This window comes from Homo sapiens, chromosome 21 (assembly GCF_000001405.40).
Source record: "Homo sapiens chromosome 21, GRCh38.p14 Primary Assembly".
Lineage (NCBI taxonomy): Eukaryota > Metazoa > Chordata > Mammalia > Primates > Hominidae > Homo > Homo sapiens.
In genome coordinates this window covers 23810698-23831789 of record NC_000021.9, presented here as the reverse complement: position 1 = coordinate 23831789, position 21092 = coordinate 23810698, and the positions used below count along the sequence as shown (strand labels likewise).

Sequence of the window (21092 nt, the reverse complement as noted above, 5' to 3'; positions counted from 1 at the left end):
CAAGAGGAATCCTGCTTTGGTAATTTTTAATCTAAATTACTGAATGGATATTGCATATTTAAGCACTAGGGTGTAAAATTATTTCTAAAACCTGGTCTCCAAACCTTCAGGCTCATACATTTTATTATATAAGACATAAAATATACAATTTTAGAAAATATAAACTCTTCAGAAGATTCATGATTGGTGATACACACAAAACCAACTTCCATTAGCCAAGAAATACAAGTTCGGCCCAGATAAGACTGGGCTGACTTATTTAGCAATTTTAGCCAAGTAGTAGTTTTGCCTACATTTTTCACCCTAAGGAAGAATTATTTGTTGTTAATGCCAGGAGAAACTGTGAAAAAATATGTTATAAACTGAGGCAGCTATCCTTTTTACCATTTTTTTTTCTACTTGGTTAGCTTTCAAACTCGAATGCCTTGTGGCATTGAATAAAAATATTGTGATGTTTTACCACGTCAAATTTATGATACTAAAGACATGAAATCCATTCTAGTGTCAGTTTTACTATATAAATGTGAGCCTCATGCTTGATTAAACCTCTGTACATTTTCCCCACATTTACTGTATTTGTAGGTTCTATTTATACATTTTTTGTAATATTTACCATTTCTTTTCATCTCTTCATTTTTATTTCCACCATCCTTAAGGCCTTAATATTCTGTTTGAAATAGAGGCAGAACCATTACGTTTGTCTCTCTGCCTCCATTCTCTGTTTCTGTGATACTTTTCATGCTTCACTGGCAGATTACACTTCTTGAAGCACAAATCTAAGGATTTCTTTATTTCAGCAAAAATTCTCAGTCTCCGTTTCCCATGGTCTACAATCAAAGATATTCAAATGTATCAACTCTTAAGGTGTCTATTGTCCAGGTCTCAAAATACTTTTACTATATTATTCCCTTACAAATGTTACCCAAACAGCAAGAGTTCTGTCTGTGTCCTGCTGCTCCCTGACCAGAAAGCCATCCACTGAAATAATAAGTACTGCCAAGGGAGAAGACATTATTTGAGTGCTGTTGGTAAGGAGAAGGGAGTCTCAAATCCATCTCCCTGACAGACTAAAATGAGGGGTTTATATAGCAGGGAAGAAATGTAACCATGGGTGAAAAAACAGAATTTAGGGAGAGATAAGGTAGAGCAGTTGGTCAACAGGTTAGGCAATTGGTCGGCAGAAGGTGGGTTAGGCAGTCATGATGGGCCAGGGGTCTGGCTTCTCCTTGTCCGCATGAGTTGATCTGATAAATTTCCATTCCCTAATACTATCTGGGAGGCCTGATGGTCGATTTCCTGATAAAGGAACTCAGATAAAACAAATGTAACTTTTTCAAGTTGTAAGACTGGGAGGGTCAATTTCTATGTTTATTCCAGAGAAACTATAAACATCAGTTCTATGGGACTATTGTATGGGTGTCACAAACATAATTCCTATTTTTTTATATTGACTGAACTGAGCCACCATCCTTACCATGTATGTCTTAACTTTTCCCAACCATGGTTCCTTTCCTATTCTGTTAAACTTACTTGAAATGCTTTTCTACTTTATTCCCAAATGTATAAATTATGTCCAATTGTGCCCTACAATGTTGCCTATTATAAGCATTCAATAAACACGTATTTGTAAATAAATAAATAAATAAATAATAATTATTATTATTATTTTGAGACAGAGTCTCGTACTGTTGCCCAGGCTGGAGTGTAACTTTGTGAACTTGGCTCACTGTAAACTCTGCCTCCTGGGTTCATGTGATTCTCCTTCCTCAGCCTCCCGAGTAGCTGAGATTACAGGTGCGCACCACCATACCTGGCTAATTTTTTGTATTTTTAGTAGAGACATTATTTCACTGTGTTGGCCAGACTGGTCTCCAACTCCTGACCTCATCATCCACCTGCCTTTGCCTCCCAAAGTACTGGGATTATAGGTGTGAGCCACTGCGCCTGGCCAAATTAATTTCTTAATTAAAGTTGATAAATGCACAAAAAGTAAAAACTCATTAATGTTTTAAAAATTCAGGTTATTCACTTATGAGTCAAATATCTATTGAACATCTAGTATAAAGTGAAGAGTGTAGATCTTAGGGATAAAAATCTTAATCTTAGGGATAAAAAGCATAATCCCTATTATTAAGGAGCTTACAGACCAGTGATAAAGATATATTTGAAAATTAACAAGTTATAATAGTATTAGAATCTCAACAGAATAATTTAGTAAATAAGAAGCACTCATTTAATGCTGCTTAACAATGTGGAATTTTTACTTTTTGCAGTCCTTTCTGGTATAAGATAGAATATAATTTTATCTTGAGTAATGTATAATCAGATTTTGGCCTACACTTATTCCTTTTATGATAGAAAATCAAGACACCTTTTAAAATAGAGATTTTCAGTGTTTATTTATTTGTTATTCATGACTACTGTTCTACCAGAGCAGTCCAACAGAAACTGGTTACAAGGGGATTCTAGACTAAGACTTGAGTGAATCACATGCTAGTTGAAAAAGCAGGTCTATGTGATAGAGTGTCCATTTGTGGTTCTAGGTAAATAAGGCATGTCTGTATCTAGTTAGATAATAATAAAAAAACTTTTTAATAAAAATGTCAGAGCTGATTTTGTTATTAACAAAATCACAACCACTGCAATGTAATGTTTTAAATTCTGCTGTGGTCCATATAGGTTTTTAAAATGTGCCCTGTCTTTACAGTTGAAACAGTGACACCAACATTAAAATGTATTTTAAAATATGCATGTAGCAGGTTATCATTAATATTACATAAGGGTCAAATTTTATTTTAAAAAGGCTAATGAACTTAGGAATTCTGGAATCAGATGATGCATTAATGCTCATGTCATTTACTGTTTGAGTTTATTACATATATAATAGTAGCGATCAGGATTTTTGTAGCCCAGTTTGCATGGGCTCTGTATTTTTGATTTACTGATTTGTAAAATTATATCTGTCTTATTACTTATTACCTGAAATTACTATATAGATCTACAAAATTTACTATTGCATGTTAAAAACTTTGACTCTCTAGTAATAAACCCTTATTGTTAGTTGACTTGTAATAATGAGATCTTCCTTCAAAGAAGGGAAATAAATATGATTAACGATAGTTCACTTTGCCTATTGTTTAGATCAATGGTAAATAAGTAACACTGCACTGGAGAACTCTCTTTTTCTAAATGCTTTACTGTGGGGCTTGTGGAAGTAATAGGTGGACATTTTTTCTTCCATAGTGAAATATAAAATTGCAATGTGGGTAGTGGATCAGAAATCATATATTCGTAATTATTTTATAAATTAGAAAATTTAAGAAATTTAAGAAAAAATACTGATTTATTTCAATGTATCACAGATATCTACATTGGAATTCAAAATAAAACATACGTAAGAGTAACATGTTCATTTCTTCTTATTTATTATTAGTTCTGATGTGTAAATCTACTACAGAGAACTTACTAGAAGATGACTAAAATAGAAGACACTAAGCATTTTATGTTCATTTGGTTAATATCACTTCAATTCTTACCCAAATCACTGACTTTTGTTTCTACTTTTGAAATACAGTATTCCCAGTGTTCTTGATGCTGTGAAGGGCGAGTATGCACATACACACATACAAGAATATGTACATACATATACACATTCAGATATATATGCATGCCTTCAAAAGGCTAAATTTATGTGCATTTATATACAATATTATTGTTCATTATATTTCTAATAACCTTGGAAAAACAACCATTTGCTTAGAGCCTGAAACTAATTTTATAAATATAGATACATGTTATTAGCAATTAGCAGAGTGTCAATATCTAGTGTGCAGTCATATATTTGTATGCTTTTCGTATATTTTTCTATATATTTACATATATATTTTTTGAGACAGAGTCTCACTCTGTCGCCCAGGTTGGAGCGCAGTGGCGCGATCTCAGCTAACTGCAACCTCCGCCTCCTGGGTTCAAGCGATTCTCCTGCCTCAGCCTCCCGAGTAGCTGGGATTACAGGCACATGCCACTGTGCCCAGCTAATTTTTTGTATTTTTAGTAGAGACGGGGTTTCACTATGTTGGCCAGGCTGGTCTAAAAATCCTGACCTTGTGATCCACCCACCTCAGTCTCCCAAAGTGCTGGGATTACAGGCGCGAGCCACCGCACCTGACCTATTTACATATAAATATTATATATATATATATATATACATACACACACACAGACACACAAACATACACACATATATATCTGTATACTTATATTGATGTGTATATGCAGGTACAGTAATTAGTAATTCAATTGCTTTGCCTATGATTCTCTTTTAAAACATATACTTTTGAAATTTATTCATAATCCCAGTTGATTTCAAAATATATTACATATGAATTTCTCCAAAATCTTTTTTCTGTCTTTTCCTGTAACTGCAAGTAGCCTCTAGACAGCCTGCAAACATCTGCCAGTTATTTAGCCATCTTTCTTATTTCTTCATTTTCAAATGCTACAACTGTGTTCATCAAACCTATCTTCTAAAGTCTGGACTGCTACCATAATTCTTTTCCATTACCTGTTCTTCTTTGGGAAGTGGTATTGTTACCCCCCAAAAACAGGGTTCATTCACCTGGAAAGTAACCAATGACTCTTCACAAGGATGCAGGTTTTTCTCAAGAGGGGTGTTATTGCCTGGCAAGGAAGGAGAAAACTAGGAGTATTCTCCAGAGCAGTATCTCCCCTAGAGTAAGTGACAGGAGGGTTTTATGAGGTGATGGAGAGGGGAGAGGGTGCCCATCACATGTAGAGAAGGAGTCTTTGCTGCCCAAAAGCAGTGAGTCACTTTGCCTGCACATAGGTGGCATATTATGGTAACAAAACCATATCTCCTCTTGGGGCGGAGACTTTAGTACAGGAATAAGGAAAGTTACTCGAGTTCATCTATAAGTTGCTGGAGTCTGCCAGGAGCTTAGGTGGCCCACTTAGGTGACCGAATTCCACACAAGATTTAGGAAGAAACAGGCTAGAGGGCACGAGGCTATAAAACAGGCTGATGGCTTAAGTTGATTAAAATCCTATAATCCCTAGAGAACTTCCCTGTCTGTTTACAGTATCTGTTTCTTGTCTGGCTTATTTAATTGTGATAAATAGTTATCCTGAAATTCAGGGTAATAATTTCCATATAGTTTGTGATGATCAAAATTTTACCTTTTATAATAGCAGCATAATCTCCACCATTAACTATATGTAAATGTTTATGCTTAATTAATCTCTTAAGAGATTAAATAAAGTGAGGTCCTGGTATCAACTTAATTATCTGGAATTTTAATCCCCATCTTCTATTGCATAGAAAAGTTAGAAATTATTTTCTGAACTACATATAATATACTTATAATTACTTATATAAGTATGTATTAGTCTGTTCTCATGCTGTTATGAAGAAATACCTGAGACTAGGTAATTTACAAAGAGAAAGAGGTTTAATGGACTCACAGTTCCACATGACTGGGGAGGCCTCACAGTTTTATAAACTGTCCTTTATAAAACCATCAGAGCCAATGAGACTTATTTGCTAACACAAGAACAGCACAGGAAAAACCCGCCCTCATGATGTAATTACCTCCCACGGGGTCCCTCCGATGACACGTGGGGATTATGGGAGCTAAATTTCAAGAAAAGATTTGGGTGGGGACACAGCCAAACCATATCAGTATATTTAATATATGTGAACTTGTGGTAGGCAGAATAATGCCTGACATCCAGAAAGTTCACACCTTAATCACACAACCTGTAAATACATTACAATACATGGCAAAATGAGGACCCCAGAGGTGATTAACATTGTAGATCCTAATATGAGGAGATCATTCTGAATTATCTATGGGGCCCAAAGTAATTACATGAGGCTTTCAAAATGGAAGAAGAAAAATAGGAACATCAGAGAGATGCAAAAGAAGAGACAGAAAATATTTAACAATGTGAAAGAGGCTTGGCTTACCACTCATGGCTTTGAAGATCAAGAAAGCAGTAAGCCAAGGAAGGTAGGTGGTCCCTGGCAACCAGAAAGGAAACAGGGACCTACAACCCCAAGAAACTGAACTGAATGCTCTCACGAACCTGAATGTTGTTACAAAGAACTGAATTACTTACTAGAGCTTCCAGAAAGAAACACAGCCTGCCTATACCTTGATCTTTGTCAAGTAAGACCCATTTCAGACTTCTGGCCTATGGAACTGTGAGACAAATTTATGTTAAGTTTGTGGTAATAGAAAACAAATACAGAGTTGAGTAAGCTGTATTACAACAGTGATTTATTACATAGTTTTTCATTTTGAATAAGATGTCACTTGATTCATTTTCCAAAAAGAATTATTTAAAACTTTTGAGTCAAGTAATAACAATGATGCATGCGGATAGAATTACTGATATATCTATGTATGAGTTATCTACAAACATTTAGTGTCTGTTTTATTTAGTTTCCTTTTAATACACTTTAATTTTTAGGGATGTTTCAGGTTCACAGCAAAATTGAGCAGAAGATATAAAAGGTTTCCCACACATTTCCACGCCCACACATGCATAACTCCCCCATTGCCAGTATCTCCCACCAGGGTCGTATATATAGTAAAAGGGATGAGTCTACATTGACACACCATAATCATCCAAAGTCCAACAAAGATATCTTGGTATTATGCAACCTATGGGTTTGGGCAAATATATAAAGCCATGTTTGCACCATTATAATATTTTCAGAGTAGTTTAGCTGCCCTGAAACCTCCCTGTGCCCTGCCTATTTACCCCTCCCTCTTCCCTAACTTTTGCCACCATCTTTGAAACAAAATGTTCTTATAGACATTGAATCTTTCCACACTTTGATCTTGAACTCCCTAGCCACTAGAAGCTTGATAAATACATTATGTTGTTTAAAAATTGTCCAGTCTAAGATATTTTGCTAAGCAGCCAGAAGGGACCAAGATAATTAGCAAGTGAGTATCTCTTTTAGTATTTCTGTAATGTCCAAGTTATACAAGTGCATTGAGGGAATCTCAAAATACCTAGATAAGAAAAGGAGAAAAAAATGATATAACTTGCATGAAAAGTATACACCCATTTTTTAACATGCAGTGTGTAGATTCCTGGATACTTTAAAATCAGTGTATATATAAGCATTTAATTATATGTACAATTAGAGAGACACTTTTTACAAAATGGAAAACTATTAGATGCTCCACATATGGCAGGTAAACTGTCTCTTGCCTCCACTAAACATATAATTAATGTTTTCCATCTAAATTAAACTTCTTTAATAATATTAAGATTTAATTAATATATCATTTTACTACTTCTTTGCATGCCTCATGTTTCATATTGAAAAGGCTATCATCAAGGAGTCTAATATGAATCTTTCTTTTCAGCATAGGTAAGGAGAAAACAAGCAAGTAGTTAAAATATTATATAGGACTCAGGCGGGCACAGTGGCTCACGCCTGTAATCCCAGCACTTTAGGAACCTGAGGCGGGCAGAACATGAGGTCAGCAGTTTGAGACCAGCCTGGTCAACATGGTGAAACCCTGTCTCTACTAAAAATACAAAAATTAGCCAGGCGTGGTGATGGGTGCCTGCAATCCCAGCTACTAGGGGGGCTGAGGCAGGAGGATCACTTGAACCTGGGAGGAGGTTGTAGTGAGAGAGATTGTGCCACTGCACTCTAGCCTGGGTAACAAAGTGAGACTCTGTCTCAAAAAAAAAAGAAAAAAGAAAAAAGAAAAAGAAAATAAAATTACCTTTTTTTAAAATGCATCTAGGAGCTATGTTTTCAATTGGGTTAAGGAAGACGATTCCATAAATTTTAAGGATATAATGCTTCTTTAATTTTTGGCCAAGAACAGGCGTCTTTTCTGTCAGATGAGCTGACTGTGGTACACCCCAAGGCAGTTTCTGACCACATCACAATCTCTTGGCCAAACATACATTATGATGGCTTTTATTCAGATTTGCCTGATAAATTAGAAATGTGTAGGTTATCAGATTGTGGAGTCTAGACTTTCATGGAATAAGTGAAGTCGTAATCTATGACATTATCCTTAGCTTTATTTGACCACATTGGTTAGATTAGATGAATCAAAGTTTCCTTCTAGTACTGACATTGTATGTGGACAATCAAAACTTATAATTCACATAATTAAAATGTATGAGCAACAGCTATCTATTACTTTCATTCATCTACCTTTTTTTCAGAATATAACTACAGGGTATACACGCAAAAACTAACAAAATGAGTGTTAACGCACACTTCAAAGAGTAAATTTGGCTATAACATGCGAAGACCTCTTCAATTCAATATTTAGCAGTAGGGCTTGCTATAAAATTTCTAAGCAAATAGGCCGAATGTTTAAGAAATATTAATATTATTGTTTTAATGTTCATACTGTCTGAAAGATACATAGAAAGTCAATTTAGGCAATTCTCCTGAGACAAATGTTTATTGTATTATTGTCATAGATCTTTATAATTATAGTTGCATGGGATCCTTACTACCATTTGGTCATGTTAACTGGTCACTACAGTGTTATGAAAACTTGAAATGGCTAAAACAATTGCGGTGACACAAAAGGAAATCGATATACACAAAACTGCATTTTGCTCAGTAGAAAAAGTCTTTTAATACTTCGTTTTGCACAGTGCACCAGTCTAGCAAGGAAGAAAAAAAGAAACTTGAATTATTTAAGCTAATTTTTCTAACAGAAAAAAAATAAGCACACACACACACACACACAAATAACTCTACTGCAGGACCTCCATCTGTCTGAATGGTAAACAGTCACCACCTGGCTTCTGTATAAGATCATTGCTCCCACAGTAAATGTCACAATTTCCATTTCAAAACCCCCTTTCAGCTGTCTCATTCTGTAGCCTCAAAATAATAAATCATCTGCTATTATGGTCGAAATAAATCCGCTGGCTATGTGATAATGATTAAAGAAAATATGCCAGGAAACAATCATGGTGGATTGGTTGCTCTCTACTGCATTGCTTCTATATGACACAAAAAGATAATTCCAGGGTATGCTAAAATAGAGAATTAGCAATATTTACATTATATTCACGTCTAAGACATGTTGATATCAATTATGCTGCTGCAACAGCAACTCAATCTCTACAGCTGCTACTGCACTATTATTTTAAGTACAAGATTGCCACATCTTCAGATTTAATTCCAGTTTTCCATATTACTAATATGTCCTGATTCATCTTAATGATTCATTAAAGATTCATTTTTTTTTGTTGTTTTCTAAATATAAAGTGGACTAAAAAATCCATTCTCTTTCCACTTCACAAGATAGTTTTGGAGAGTCGATGAAATTGTAGGTGGTAAGATTGGGAAACAATTTAGGCATATCCACTAAAGCCGGTGGAACTTGATGCTGTGTGCTATAGATGTTTTTTGTTTTTTGTTTTTTTTTCCAGGATTCCTTGCAGCATCCCACGTTTCATTTTGTTGTTGGCTTCAGTTTGACAATATCTCAGTCTGTCTTTGTTGGTGGTGACCTTGAGAATTTTGAGGAATATGGTTAGGTATATTATGGCATGCTGCTTTACTGGAATTTTTTGGATGTTTTTCTTTGATTTGACTAAAGTTATAGGTTTGGAAGAGAAGTTCATGAAGTGCCATGATTATTACATTGTACTGAGGGAACATACCACTAACATAATTTATGATTGCTGACCTAGAGTTGATCACATGACTGAAGTAGTGATTGTCAAGTTTCTCCACCATAACATTAGTCTTTTTTTTTTGCCCCTTTGCTTTCCATATTGAACTCTTTGGATTGAAGTCACAATGCACAGCGGACTCTTAAGAAGGGAGAAGTTGGCTGAGCGCGGTGGCTCACGCTTGTAATCCCAGCCCTTTGGGGGGCTGAGGCAGGCGGACCATCCTGGCTAACACGGTGAAACCCCGTCTCTACTAAAAATACAAAAAAAAATTAGCCAGGCGTAGTCCCAGCTACTCGGGAGGCTGAGGCAGGAGAATGGTGTGAACCCGGGAGGCGGAGCTTGCAGTGAGCCGAGATTGTGCCACTGCACTCCAGCCTGGGAGACAGAGCCAGACTCTGTCTCAAAAAAAAAAAAAAAAAAAAAAAAAAGAAGGGAGAAGTTATACTCCCTTCCTTGATGGCAGAGTATCTACATAGATTATTAGGTATTCCACTGTGCAAGAGATTTATCTCTTTGATCTCTTCTTCCCTATTAACTTACAAAATAATTTATTTATATCAGTATAAATGCATGTTTATTTTATACCTCAGGTTATCATCCAAAAGCACTTTTTAACTACTGTTGCTCAAATTGTTTCAGCTTTGCCTGTTGGCTCCTTGTGCATCCCCCTAACCTCAGTTTTCTGGAATGGGTTTATTTTTGTTTCTTATTTTTAGCTCTTTCTTACTTTAAGGCACTACAGGGTGATTCAGGCTTATAAATTTCCTGCTTTCATCCTAGTTTCAGCCATCTCCCCAGGAAACACTGTTCCTTTTTGTGGATTATGATATCAACAACTATGATCTGGGCAGTAGGTATATTTCATACTACTGGGGTGTCATTTATTTTAGCCACTCTCAGCGGACAAAAAATGAAACATATGTGCATATACTAATCTAGGTATGCACCTATTAATATATCAATAAATGTTTCTAATATGTAATCAACTGTATCCATATTAAGCTAAACATGAGTTCTTAGTAATGTCTCCAGCTCTAACCCATTATGCAGGGATCATCCTAGCCTCCTCCTATTGTTTTGCTGTAAAAGCCTACTCCAAATTTGAACCATCATCTGCCATTCACTAGCTTAATCGTTCAATTCCTATATACATGTATAGCAGCTTCGGAATTGTTAACTGCACCCCTGGGTGGTGTGGTGGGGGTATATTTGCAGTTAATTTTGTCTTTAGTCTTGCAGACTGCACTTACTTTCAAAGTTACTTAGGTCAGTACCTTTCCTGCATCACCAATTTCTTCTGTGAGATTAATTTAGACATTTGTAATATAGCTGGATTTTCCCAGTCTGCCTTCCTTCTTCAGATCTCTCCATAGCCTAAATGATATTTTTAAATTCGCATACCTTACGATTCACTGTGTTGTAAAATTCTACAGATTTTGACAAATGCATAATCTCTGCATTCACCTTTACAGTATCTTACACAATAGTTTCAGCATTCTATAAAATTACCCAATTAAAAAAAAAACTTTTAGGTTCAGGGGTACGTGAGTACTAAATGTTTTAAGTACTCAACCCTTAACATACAACACTCCTCCAATCCTTGGCAATCAGTGATCCTTTTACTGTCTCTATAGTTTTGCCCCTTCCAGAATGTCATATAATTGGAATTGCACATTATGGGACCTTTCCAGACTGGCATCATTTATTATCAATATGCATTTATGGTTTCATCGTGTCTTCTCATAATATGATAGTGCATTTCTTTTTGTTGCTGAAAATGTTTCTTTGTATATAGTCTGTTTATCCATTCACTATGCAGGATATCTTGGTCTGTTCCAGTTTGGGGCAATTATAATTAAAGTTATTGTAAATACTTACATAAAATTATTTGTGTGATCATAAGTTTTCAAGTCAATTGGGTAAGTACCCAGGAGCACCATCTATGAAATATCTGATAAGGCTATGTTTAATTTTGTAAGAAACTTCCACACTGTCTTAAAAAGTGGCTGTATTAGTCTTCATTCCAACCAACAATGGATGTGGTTTCTTTTTTTTCTTGTTTTTTTTTTTTTTTTTTTTTTTTTTGAGACGGAGTCTGACTCTGTCCCCCAGGCTGGAGTGCAGTGTCCCGATCTCGTCTCGCTGCAAGCTCCGCCTCCTGGGTTCACGCCATTCTCCTGCCTCAGCCTCCCGAGTAGCTGGACCACAGGCGCCCGCCACCACGCCTGGCTAATTTTTTATATTTTTTTAGTAGAGATGGGTTTTCACTGTGTTAGCCAGGATGGTCTCGATCTCCTGACCTCGTGATCTGCCCACCTTGGCCTCCCAAAATGCTGGGATGACAGATGTGAGCCACCTTGCCCGGCCCAATGGACATTGTTTCTATTGCTCCACATCCTCACCAGCATTTGGTATTGTGAGTTTTGTTTTTTTTTATTGTTGTTGTTGTTTTATTTTATCCTTTATATTAGGTGTGTAGAGCTATCTCACTGTTCTAATTTGCAATTTCTTATTGACAAATAATGTTGAGCATCTTGTCTTGGGTTTGACATCTGTGTATCTTATTTGGTGAGGTGTCTTTTCGTATCTTTTGCCCATTTTAATTTTTTTCATACTGCTGAATACTAGTTTTTGTAAGTTTTGGATGCAAGCCCCTTATCAGATATGTGCTCTGCAAATAGTTTCTTCAAGTTTGTGGCACGTCTTTTATTTCTCTTAACATTGCCACAGAGAAGAAATTTGAAATTTTAATAACTTCCAGTTCGTCCTTTTTTTCTATCATCAATTGTACTTTCGGGTCTGAAACCACATCACCAAATGCAAGATCCCATAGGTTTCCTCCCCTATTATATGTTAGAAGATACTTAATTTTGGACTATACTTGCTCCCAGACAATAGTTGAGCATAAAAGTGTTACTAAATCTTGGTCACTCCTACTCAACAGTGAATTATGCTAATAGACTGTCTTTTCTCTAGACTTTCCATTTTCAGAGCTGCACTACCATTGAAATCTTTTTCTATGAATCTCCATTTTTACCTCCCTCCTTTCACATGTTGTCCCTGTTAAGACTTTCTCTCCTGTCTAAAGGCTCTCCCTAACTCCCAGCTACCTCTTTCCTTTCTCCTTCCTCGATGTTTCCCCCTCTTGCAATTCCAATCCATCATGGTGCCAGCTAAGGACTCAAACCACTTCAACAAGAGAATGGAAAAAAACAGCTTAGTTGCTATTCTATGGTTTGTATTTGAGTTACTCTGATAAAGTTTATCATGGAAGAAGATACGTACTACCATATTAGTTCTATTTTCTTAGATTTTCCTCAAGATTCTAAGGGACCATAAGCTATACCTTTTTTTTTTTTTTTTTTTTTTTTTCCAGAAAGACTCTTACTCTGTCACCCAGCCTGGAGTGCTGGAGTGCTGGAGTGCAGTGGCAGGATCTCGGCTCACTGCAACTTCCGCCTCCCAGGCTCAAGTGATTCTCCTGCCTCAGCCTTCCAAGTAGCTGAGACCACAGGTGCGTGCTACCACACCCAGCTTTTTTTTTTTTTTTTAATTTTTAGTAGAGACAGTGTTTCGCCATGTTGACCAGGCTGGTCTTGAACTCCTGGCCTCAAGTCATCCATCTGCCTCAGCTTCCCAAGTGCTGGGATTATAGGCATAAGTTACCTTGCCCGGCCTCATAAACTATACTTTTTAAACAAACTAAGAAGAAGAAAAAAGACAAATTTACAAATTTTTTCGCTAGAATTTTCAGAATGCATTTTCTAGATGTGTAATGTTTAAATCATGTTTAAATGACAAGAATTGTGCCACAATTGTCATTTTTCTTCCTTAGTCATTGTGAAATCCCAGAGAAAAATGTTATGCCTTTAGATTTCCTTATCCCCTGGTACGTATTAGGGAATAAATATCATTTGTTTGAATAAATAAAGTATATAGATTATCCTGGGATAATGCTGTATTGAGTTAGATGGACAGATACTTTTTGCCTTGAGGGCATTTTCCCCCAGGTTTCTCTTCTTTGATTTTAAGATAAATGGTATATAAGAAAAGACTATGATGTAACAATGCTGATTCAATTAAAAACAATCTATATCCTGTATTAACAGAATAAAGGACAAAATTATCTGATAACCTCAGTAGATAAAGGAAAAGAGTTTGACTAAAGCAAGCACCCTTTGGAATAAGGGTTTACTATCCAGAATATAAAGAACTCATTACTCAACAATTAAAAGATGGAAAAATAGAATTAAAAAACAGTTAAAAGAATTTGAATAAATATTACCAGAAAGAAGATATCCACATGGACAAGTATTTACTTAAAAAGATGTCAATTGCATTCATTTTCAGGAAAATGCAAACCCAAACCATTAGATTACTGCTTTATACCCACGAAAGTAGCTAAAATATATTTTAGGAAAACACAATAATAAGTGTTGAAAATGTGGAGATACTGGAACTTCACACATCATTTGGTGGAATTTTACAATGTTACACTCACTTTGAAAAATAGTTTGGAAGTTTCCCTAAAGGGTAAACCATATGACTCAGCAATTCTGCTCCTTGGAATATACCTAAGAGAAATAAAAATATGTCCACACATAAACTTGTACATGATACTCATAACAGCCAAAAAATTGAAACAATCCAAATGTCCATTAGCTGATGAATAGATAAACAAAATGTGGTATATGTATCAAATTGGATATTATTCCTCAATGAAAAATGTTACCTGCTAGAACATAGATTAATCTTGAAAACATTAACCTAAGTGAAGTAAATTTTTACAAAAGGCCACATATTGTGAGATTCTATTCATGTGGAATGGCCATAATAGATAAATTCATAGGGACTGGAAGTAGATTGGTGCTCGTCAGGAACTGGAGGGAGGAGAGGATGGGAGGAGGAAACTGCTAATGGATTTCTTTCTGGAGTGGTGAAAATAATCTAAAATTAGATTGTGATGATGGCTACACAACTGTGAGTATACTATAACACCCTTGAATTGCATACTTTAAAATGGTAAATTTTATAATATGTAAAATGATTTAAATAGACACTTCTTCCAAGAAGATTATACAAGTAGCCAATAAGCACATGAAAAGATGCTCACAACTATTAATATTTAGTATGTCCCAGGTAGGAAACTGGATAAGGGGCCCCCTCACCAGTTCCCCTTCCTAGAAACGCTTCTCCAAATTCAATCCCACTTTTAACCTCGTCTTGTAAGGCCTTAGAAAAAGAATGACAATAACCACAAATCATACTAATTTATAGTACTATCTTATAGCTTATTGCAAGTTGATTTCTGCTAATAGAAGGTCATTCACAGTTGTTTGTATTAGCAAAATCTTAACAGTTATACTTGAGACAGATGTGTGGGAAAGAGGATGTTATAATCTAAAGTACTCTATTTAGCTAAATTTAAAATACCATTTACTTTAGATGTCATTGAATGTCTACATTTAAGAGAGTCTATTTTGAAATGTTTTTCTAGGAAGGAGATTTCAAATTTTTACAGTATAAGATGGTCTCAAGCTATAAAATAATTTAAAATTCTTTAGGCAAGGTTAGCTGGTACATACAGATGCCATTTAAAAAAAATCAGGTAATTGGCTCTTTAAAAATTAGTTCACACAATTAAAATAATACCGTCTTTGCAATTTTGAAAAGAATTTGAAGGCGATGACATATGGTTAACATTACATATGTCTGTAGGCTGTCAAACTATTCAGATGAAGAGTAAAAATTTCAATCCATTTTCTAGCCATTCTATCTACTGTGACAGCCCAACATCTCTAGACAAGCTTATTGAAAGAAAGCCTCATGTTCCCAATACACATTATTTACACTCCTGAAAGAGTTCCAGGAAAATGCTGTGATTGTAACAGGGCCCTCCTTAGAAGTTGCAGGGTGGGGCCAAATAATGCTATCCTCTTGAACACTGGACTTCACCCCCACCGTCCTGCATACTCATGGACCCATGTAGATGTTGTCCCTGGATTTGGGCAGGTCCTGGGCTGCTTCATCTTCAGATGTTGTTCCCAGTGACCTCCCATTTGCTCTGAGTAACTGTACATGAACTTCAGAGTGAGGAGGACCAGCCATAGATTAAGCCAAAGTATGGTCTTAAATCCTTGCTTCTCAAGCGCCCAGCATTTTCACCTGCACCTTCCTCCCATGTGCACTTGGAAGAAGTTGAAAACACTCTGAGGGTCTTTTCTGTCTGACCACTTGGGGGTCTTTCTTTTCTGATATGTAGCACCAGGGGAACACCCAGGGAGAAAATATAAATAAGAGCTCTCCTCATTGGCTTCCCTCCCTAAAATCTGTCCCCCAAGGACGAGATCATTTCTGACCTCTTGCCTATGGAGTGTGATGGGCTAGTCTCCTTCACACCCAAGAGCTGCTGCAGGCAACACCCTCCATGTGGGTCACCTGTACTCTCTAGCCAGGCAGCTGACCACGTGGGCTCTACCTGAGCTCTCTGCCCTGATGCTGCCACTCCTGTCACCCCTGCTGCTGGCCAGCATGCAGCTGTGCTGTCCCCTCAGACCTACACATGCTCCCTCTGTGGGAACTAGCATGAGCCCCAACAATGTGTTGGCCACTCAGACTGGCTGAGGAGGGAAGCTGGTCCAGCAGTTCTCAGCAGCATCTGCAATTCATAGAAACTCTTTTTCAGGCTTCTCACACTCACACCACCCTCAGCACTCCCCTTCTAGGTGGTGATAGAGACACATTTCTGTTATTAATTTTAATTCTTCTTATAGTATGGAGAGATCCAAACCCCTCTCTCCCTTGGAGCCTCCATGTCACCATAAATTCTGGTGGGGAGGGCGCACTAAAATCCTCATATAATGGCATCTCAGCACTTCCACAGAATAAAGACATCTCGTATTTTCCAAAATACCCCATCTCACTCTTCTACCTCCATTTCTTTAAGGAAGATAGATGTTGCTAATACTCTATTCCTAGTTGGGCTTTACTAACTGTATTTTCTCACATCCTTCCTCTCGACTCTAGGAATCTTGTGTGCTCGTGTCTGGGTGTGTGTGCATGTGTGTGCAAATCCTACCAAGTATATATATTAAACATTCTGTGTAACTCGAGGTCTGTAGTACTTATCCTTTCTTCTCTCCCCCAACCTTTCTTCTTCCTTTTCTTTCTCTTTTCTCTTTTCTGCTCTTGACTTGTCCCCTTTCTTTCTCTCTGACTGTCTCCTTCTCTCTCTCTCCATATAGTGTATATATATATATATATATATATATATATATACTCTCCACATGTGGTATTTTATATATGTGTGTGTATATATATATATATATACACACACCCTCCACATATATGTTGTGTGTGTATATATATACACACACCATATGTAATATGGTGATATGTAATGTGATATATATGTAAACATCCAGAGTAGTATATTTCTTTTCCATTAACAATACAAAAATATATTGATATAAATTGATATTGATGAAGAATAAAAACATAAGTTTAGAACAAAACCTCTCAGAATAAACAATGGAAATAGTGTAGACATTTACTATATACGAAGACAGACACTTTCACTTACCTACTACCATGGAATACATTTTAACAACGATGAAGGCAGAGCCACGTTTTATAGAAAAAGGGGGAAGAATATTTATTTTAAGAAAGGCAGTTTTAATGAATATATGGTTGATTGGGAACCCATATAAACATATGGGTCTAAAACCAGTGGGTTTAGTACTTTGCATTTCCTTTTTATTCTTCAGCCAAGGTGGGGGATTTCAGTTTTCAGATCAGAACAGTCAGGTATAATAATAAATATATAACTTGTCATTTTTTAAGCTTCAGAAAACAGTAAAACAATACACTTTTTTTTTGTTTTTGTTTTTGTTTTTTGTTTGTTTGTTTGTTTGTTTGAGGCAGAATCTCGCTCTGTCACCCAGGCTGGAGTGCAGTAGCGCAATCTCTGCTCACTGCAAGCTCCGCCTCCTGGGTTCACAGCATTCTCCTGCTTCAGCCTCCCGAGTAGCTGGGACTACAGGACCCGCCACCACGCTCGGGTAATTTTTTGTATTTTTAGTAGAGACGGGGTTTCACCGTGTTAGCCAGGATGGTCTCGATCTCCTGACCTCCTGATCTGCCTGCCTCGGCCTCCCAAAGTGCTGGGATTATAGGCGTGAGCCACCACGCCCGGCCAAAACAATATACTTTTCTCAGAAAGACAGACAGAAGACAGAAAACCGTCAAAGTTAAAATCATGAACTTCTGGCAGCGTTGCTGTGGTATCAGGTCTCACTCTTCTTGTGAACAGATTGTTCCACCAGACAGCTTTGCCAATTTGGTAGCAAATTGGAGCTTTGCTCCTTTGGAGAAGCAAAATCTATAACAACTAGTGTGATAAATAAGTGAAGGTGAGTAATTACAATAGATTTATTACACATAGAAATTGAAAAGAGGGAAATAAAAATATTGATTAAACATGATTTATAAAAAGCAAAGTCTGTTACTCTAATGACTTTCTTGAGTATTTTATAATGCAATTATTCATATGTATTAGATGTTCATGTTTTAAAAGTTCTGTTAGCCATGTAAAATTAGTAGGATTTTCTAGAAAAAAAGAAAAAAAAAACACTGAATTTTTACATAAATAGAAACAAGCACTTATATTAGCTATATATAGAGTCATGTCATTTTTTTCAGTTTATTTATCTTTATCTTTTATGTGTTATTAGACTTCATTATTGAAAAATGACCTGCCCACTGTTCACAGCAGCTGCAATCCATTAGCCTAATGGATTGGAATTATATGTTGCCTTAGAAATTGTCTATTGTGTGGCAAAATCAAATGTAAACCCTACAGAGAAAAGTCTTGACATTATTAAATGTAAGAAATGCAGTGCATTCAGGAAGTTGTAAAAAAAAAATTAAAAAAAAAAAGGATTTAGGACGTATGACACCAGAAAGTAATATGATGTTTAGGTGAAAATATAAATTACTTGTGTTTTCTCATTATCATTTAGTAGAAAAATTGCAAACTGTCAGTCACCAATGAACTGTGCTAAATGCAAAATTAGTACTAAATAGATTGATTATCCTCTTTTTCTTTCAAATATTATACATTTGCTGTATGCATATTCATTTTCTTCTTTCCAAAACAGTACCTTGTGCAATTGCTTTCATTGATCCATTCAAGAACAACTATACCACTACCAGCAAAATATTGAGGGTTCACTCTGTACTCAGCACTGAAAAGGTACATTTCTCATAGATAATACCAAACCCCACAAATAACTTTCAAAGATATAATGATGTTCACTTTTGCATAACTAACTCGGGAATACACTCACCTCTTGTTTACGTTCTCTTATCCTCTCAGTTGCCTTCCTTTCACTCTCAATTACATCATGTTATCATCACCGGTTTTTGGAGCTCCCTGGTCAGGGTCAAGTCCACACAGCAGATCCAGCAGTGTAGGCTTTCACATTCCGGAACTCAGTTATGGCATAAAGAGGAAAGTGAGGTGGGGAAGATTCAGTTTTCCTTCAGAGGACACCCAATACTGATGTAGGGAGTGTCTGTTAAGTGAGGAGTGCCACATTGTTGACAAGCAAAGTCAGTACAGCAAGAGCACTTTCAGAGGAGGGCTTTCGTGGCCATGCTTCCAGCGGAAAGAAACAGCCATCATTTCCTATGCTGCAGAGGAGATCGCTGAGGCACCGCCGCTCACCTCTTCAAACCTAGAGAGATGCTATTGCTCCAGATGCTCATTTGTAGCTGAGCTAATAGTGATATTAACAATCAGACCCATGCTTACCCTTTGAACATTCAATTTGCCTTTATGCATTTTAGTTATTCTTCTATAGCTTCCTTCTCCATAAATAAATCCAAATCATTGTTATAGGCTAAATGTTTGTTTCTCTGGTCAACATGTGTATGTTGAAGTCCTAACCCTTGATGTGTTGGTATTTGCAGGAGGGGTTTTTGGAGGTTATTAGGCATAGATAAAGCCATGAGGATAAAGCTGCTGTGATGAAATTAGAGTCCTTCTGAAAACAGGAAGAGACCAGAGCTCTCAGCTTTCTATGCCATGTGAGAATACAGTGAGAAGACAGTTGTCTACAAATCAGGAAGTGAGCCTTCACCAGAAATCAAACGTTTTGGCATCTTGATCTTGAACTTCCTGGCTTCCAGAACTGAGAAATAAATTTGTGTTGTTTAAGCCACACAGTCTATAGTATTTCGTTATAGCATCCCAAGCTAAGACAGTAATTTATATTTAGAAAGTAAAGCAAATATTAAAAACTTCTTAGGTACTTAAAGGTTAATTTTAAGGCTTAATATTAGCAATGTCAAACTTCAGAGATAGAAAATGATCAAATTTTGAAATATAAATCCTGAAAAGGGTCAGGAAAACAAGGAAGGAATTCTAATAAATTAGACATAAAGGTGACCAGAAAATTGTGGCCAATGTTGGAACAAGAGTTAACATTTAAAATGGTAATAATCAAAGGTTAAAAATAAAACAGCTGCATATGAAAACTTTCCTATCTAAATGTCTTAGAAAAGGAGCAAACTGTTGAATCAAACTCTTCTAGGGTTTAATGTTTTTTCTAGGAGAAAGCTGGTCATTTAGAAATTTAAAGCATCTCGCCAGGTTTTAAGGACACTGTCACTTTACCTCTTTTCTCTCTCTTTCTCTCTCTTTCCTTCTCTTTTTCACTCTCTCTCTCTCTCACACACACACACACACAAACACTGTTCATTTATTTACTTTGATTTAGTCCAACAACATTTAGTGTTTTCTGACCATTGACTTCTAGTTTAGTTTGGAAGATGAAATATCTACCAATTCATTCAGTGAACAGACATTTATCCAATGTCATTATTGTGCCAATTGTATATTCAAATACTAGTTAAATAACAAAAATATTGAAAACACTAGAAAAATGGAGGAATTGTAGATATAGTGACCAGATCAGTATTACTAACATTTAAATTTAAAGTATCAGAATGTCATCTAAAGGATTAACAGATTGGAAGAAACAAACAAAAAGGCAGAGTCCAGGTATAAGCCATGGAAACAAAGACTAATATAAAGATATTGCAAAATTGAGGCAGTTTGGAATCATAAATCTGAATTTTGTCGTGCAAGGGAACTATTAGAAGCATAGGCATTGTATGGAAAAGGCGTATCAGTTTGGCCTGCAGAAGACAGGAAAAAAATCTCATAATACCAGTATTTTATTTCTTTTCTTTTTCTTTTTTTTTTTCCTTCTTTATTTTTTTCTTTTGAGACAGAGTCTTGCTCTGTCACCCAGGCTGTGGTGCAGCTATGCAATCATGGTTCATTACAGTCTTGACCTCCGAGGCTCAAGTGACCTCCTGCC

At 36.3% G+C, this 21092-nt stretch overlaps 1 long non-coding RNA gene across 2 annotated transcripts in view, besides 1 other annotated feature; it reads right to left on the bottom strand.

The window, feature by feature from the left end:
- Positions 1–19173, bottom strand: part of LOC105372750 (uncharacterized) — a 63784-nt gene extending 44611 nt beyond the window's left edge. For both annotated transcript variants that reach the window (XR_937612.2, XR_937613.2), the window contains exon 1: positions 19053–19173. This is a non-coding gene — a long non-coding RNA (uncharacterized LOC105372750). The remainder of the gene's footprint in view (positions 1–19052) is intronic.
- Positions 18535–19734: an enhancer, noted in NCBI's record as "BRD4-independent group 4 enhancer chr21:25184373-25185572 (GRCh37/hg19 assembly coordinates)". NCBI's record gives its function as "activates an origin of replication core promoter dependent on BRD2, P300/CBP, MED14 and CDK7 cofactors, and independent of BRD4, by STARR-seq in HCT116 cells {active_cell/tissue: HCT116}" and the evidence as "EXISTENCE:reporter gene assay evidence [ECO:0000049][PMID:35650434]".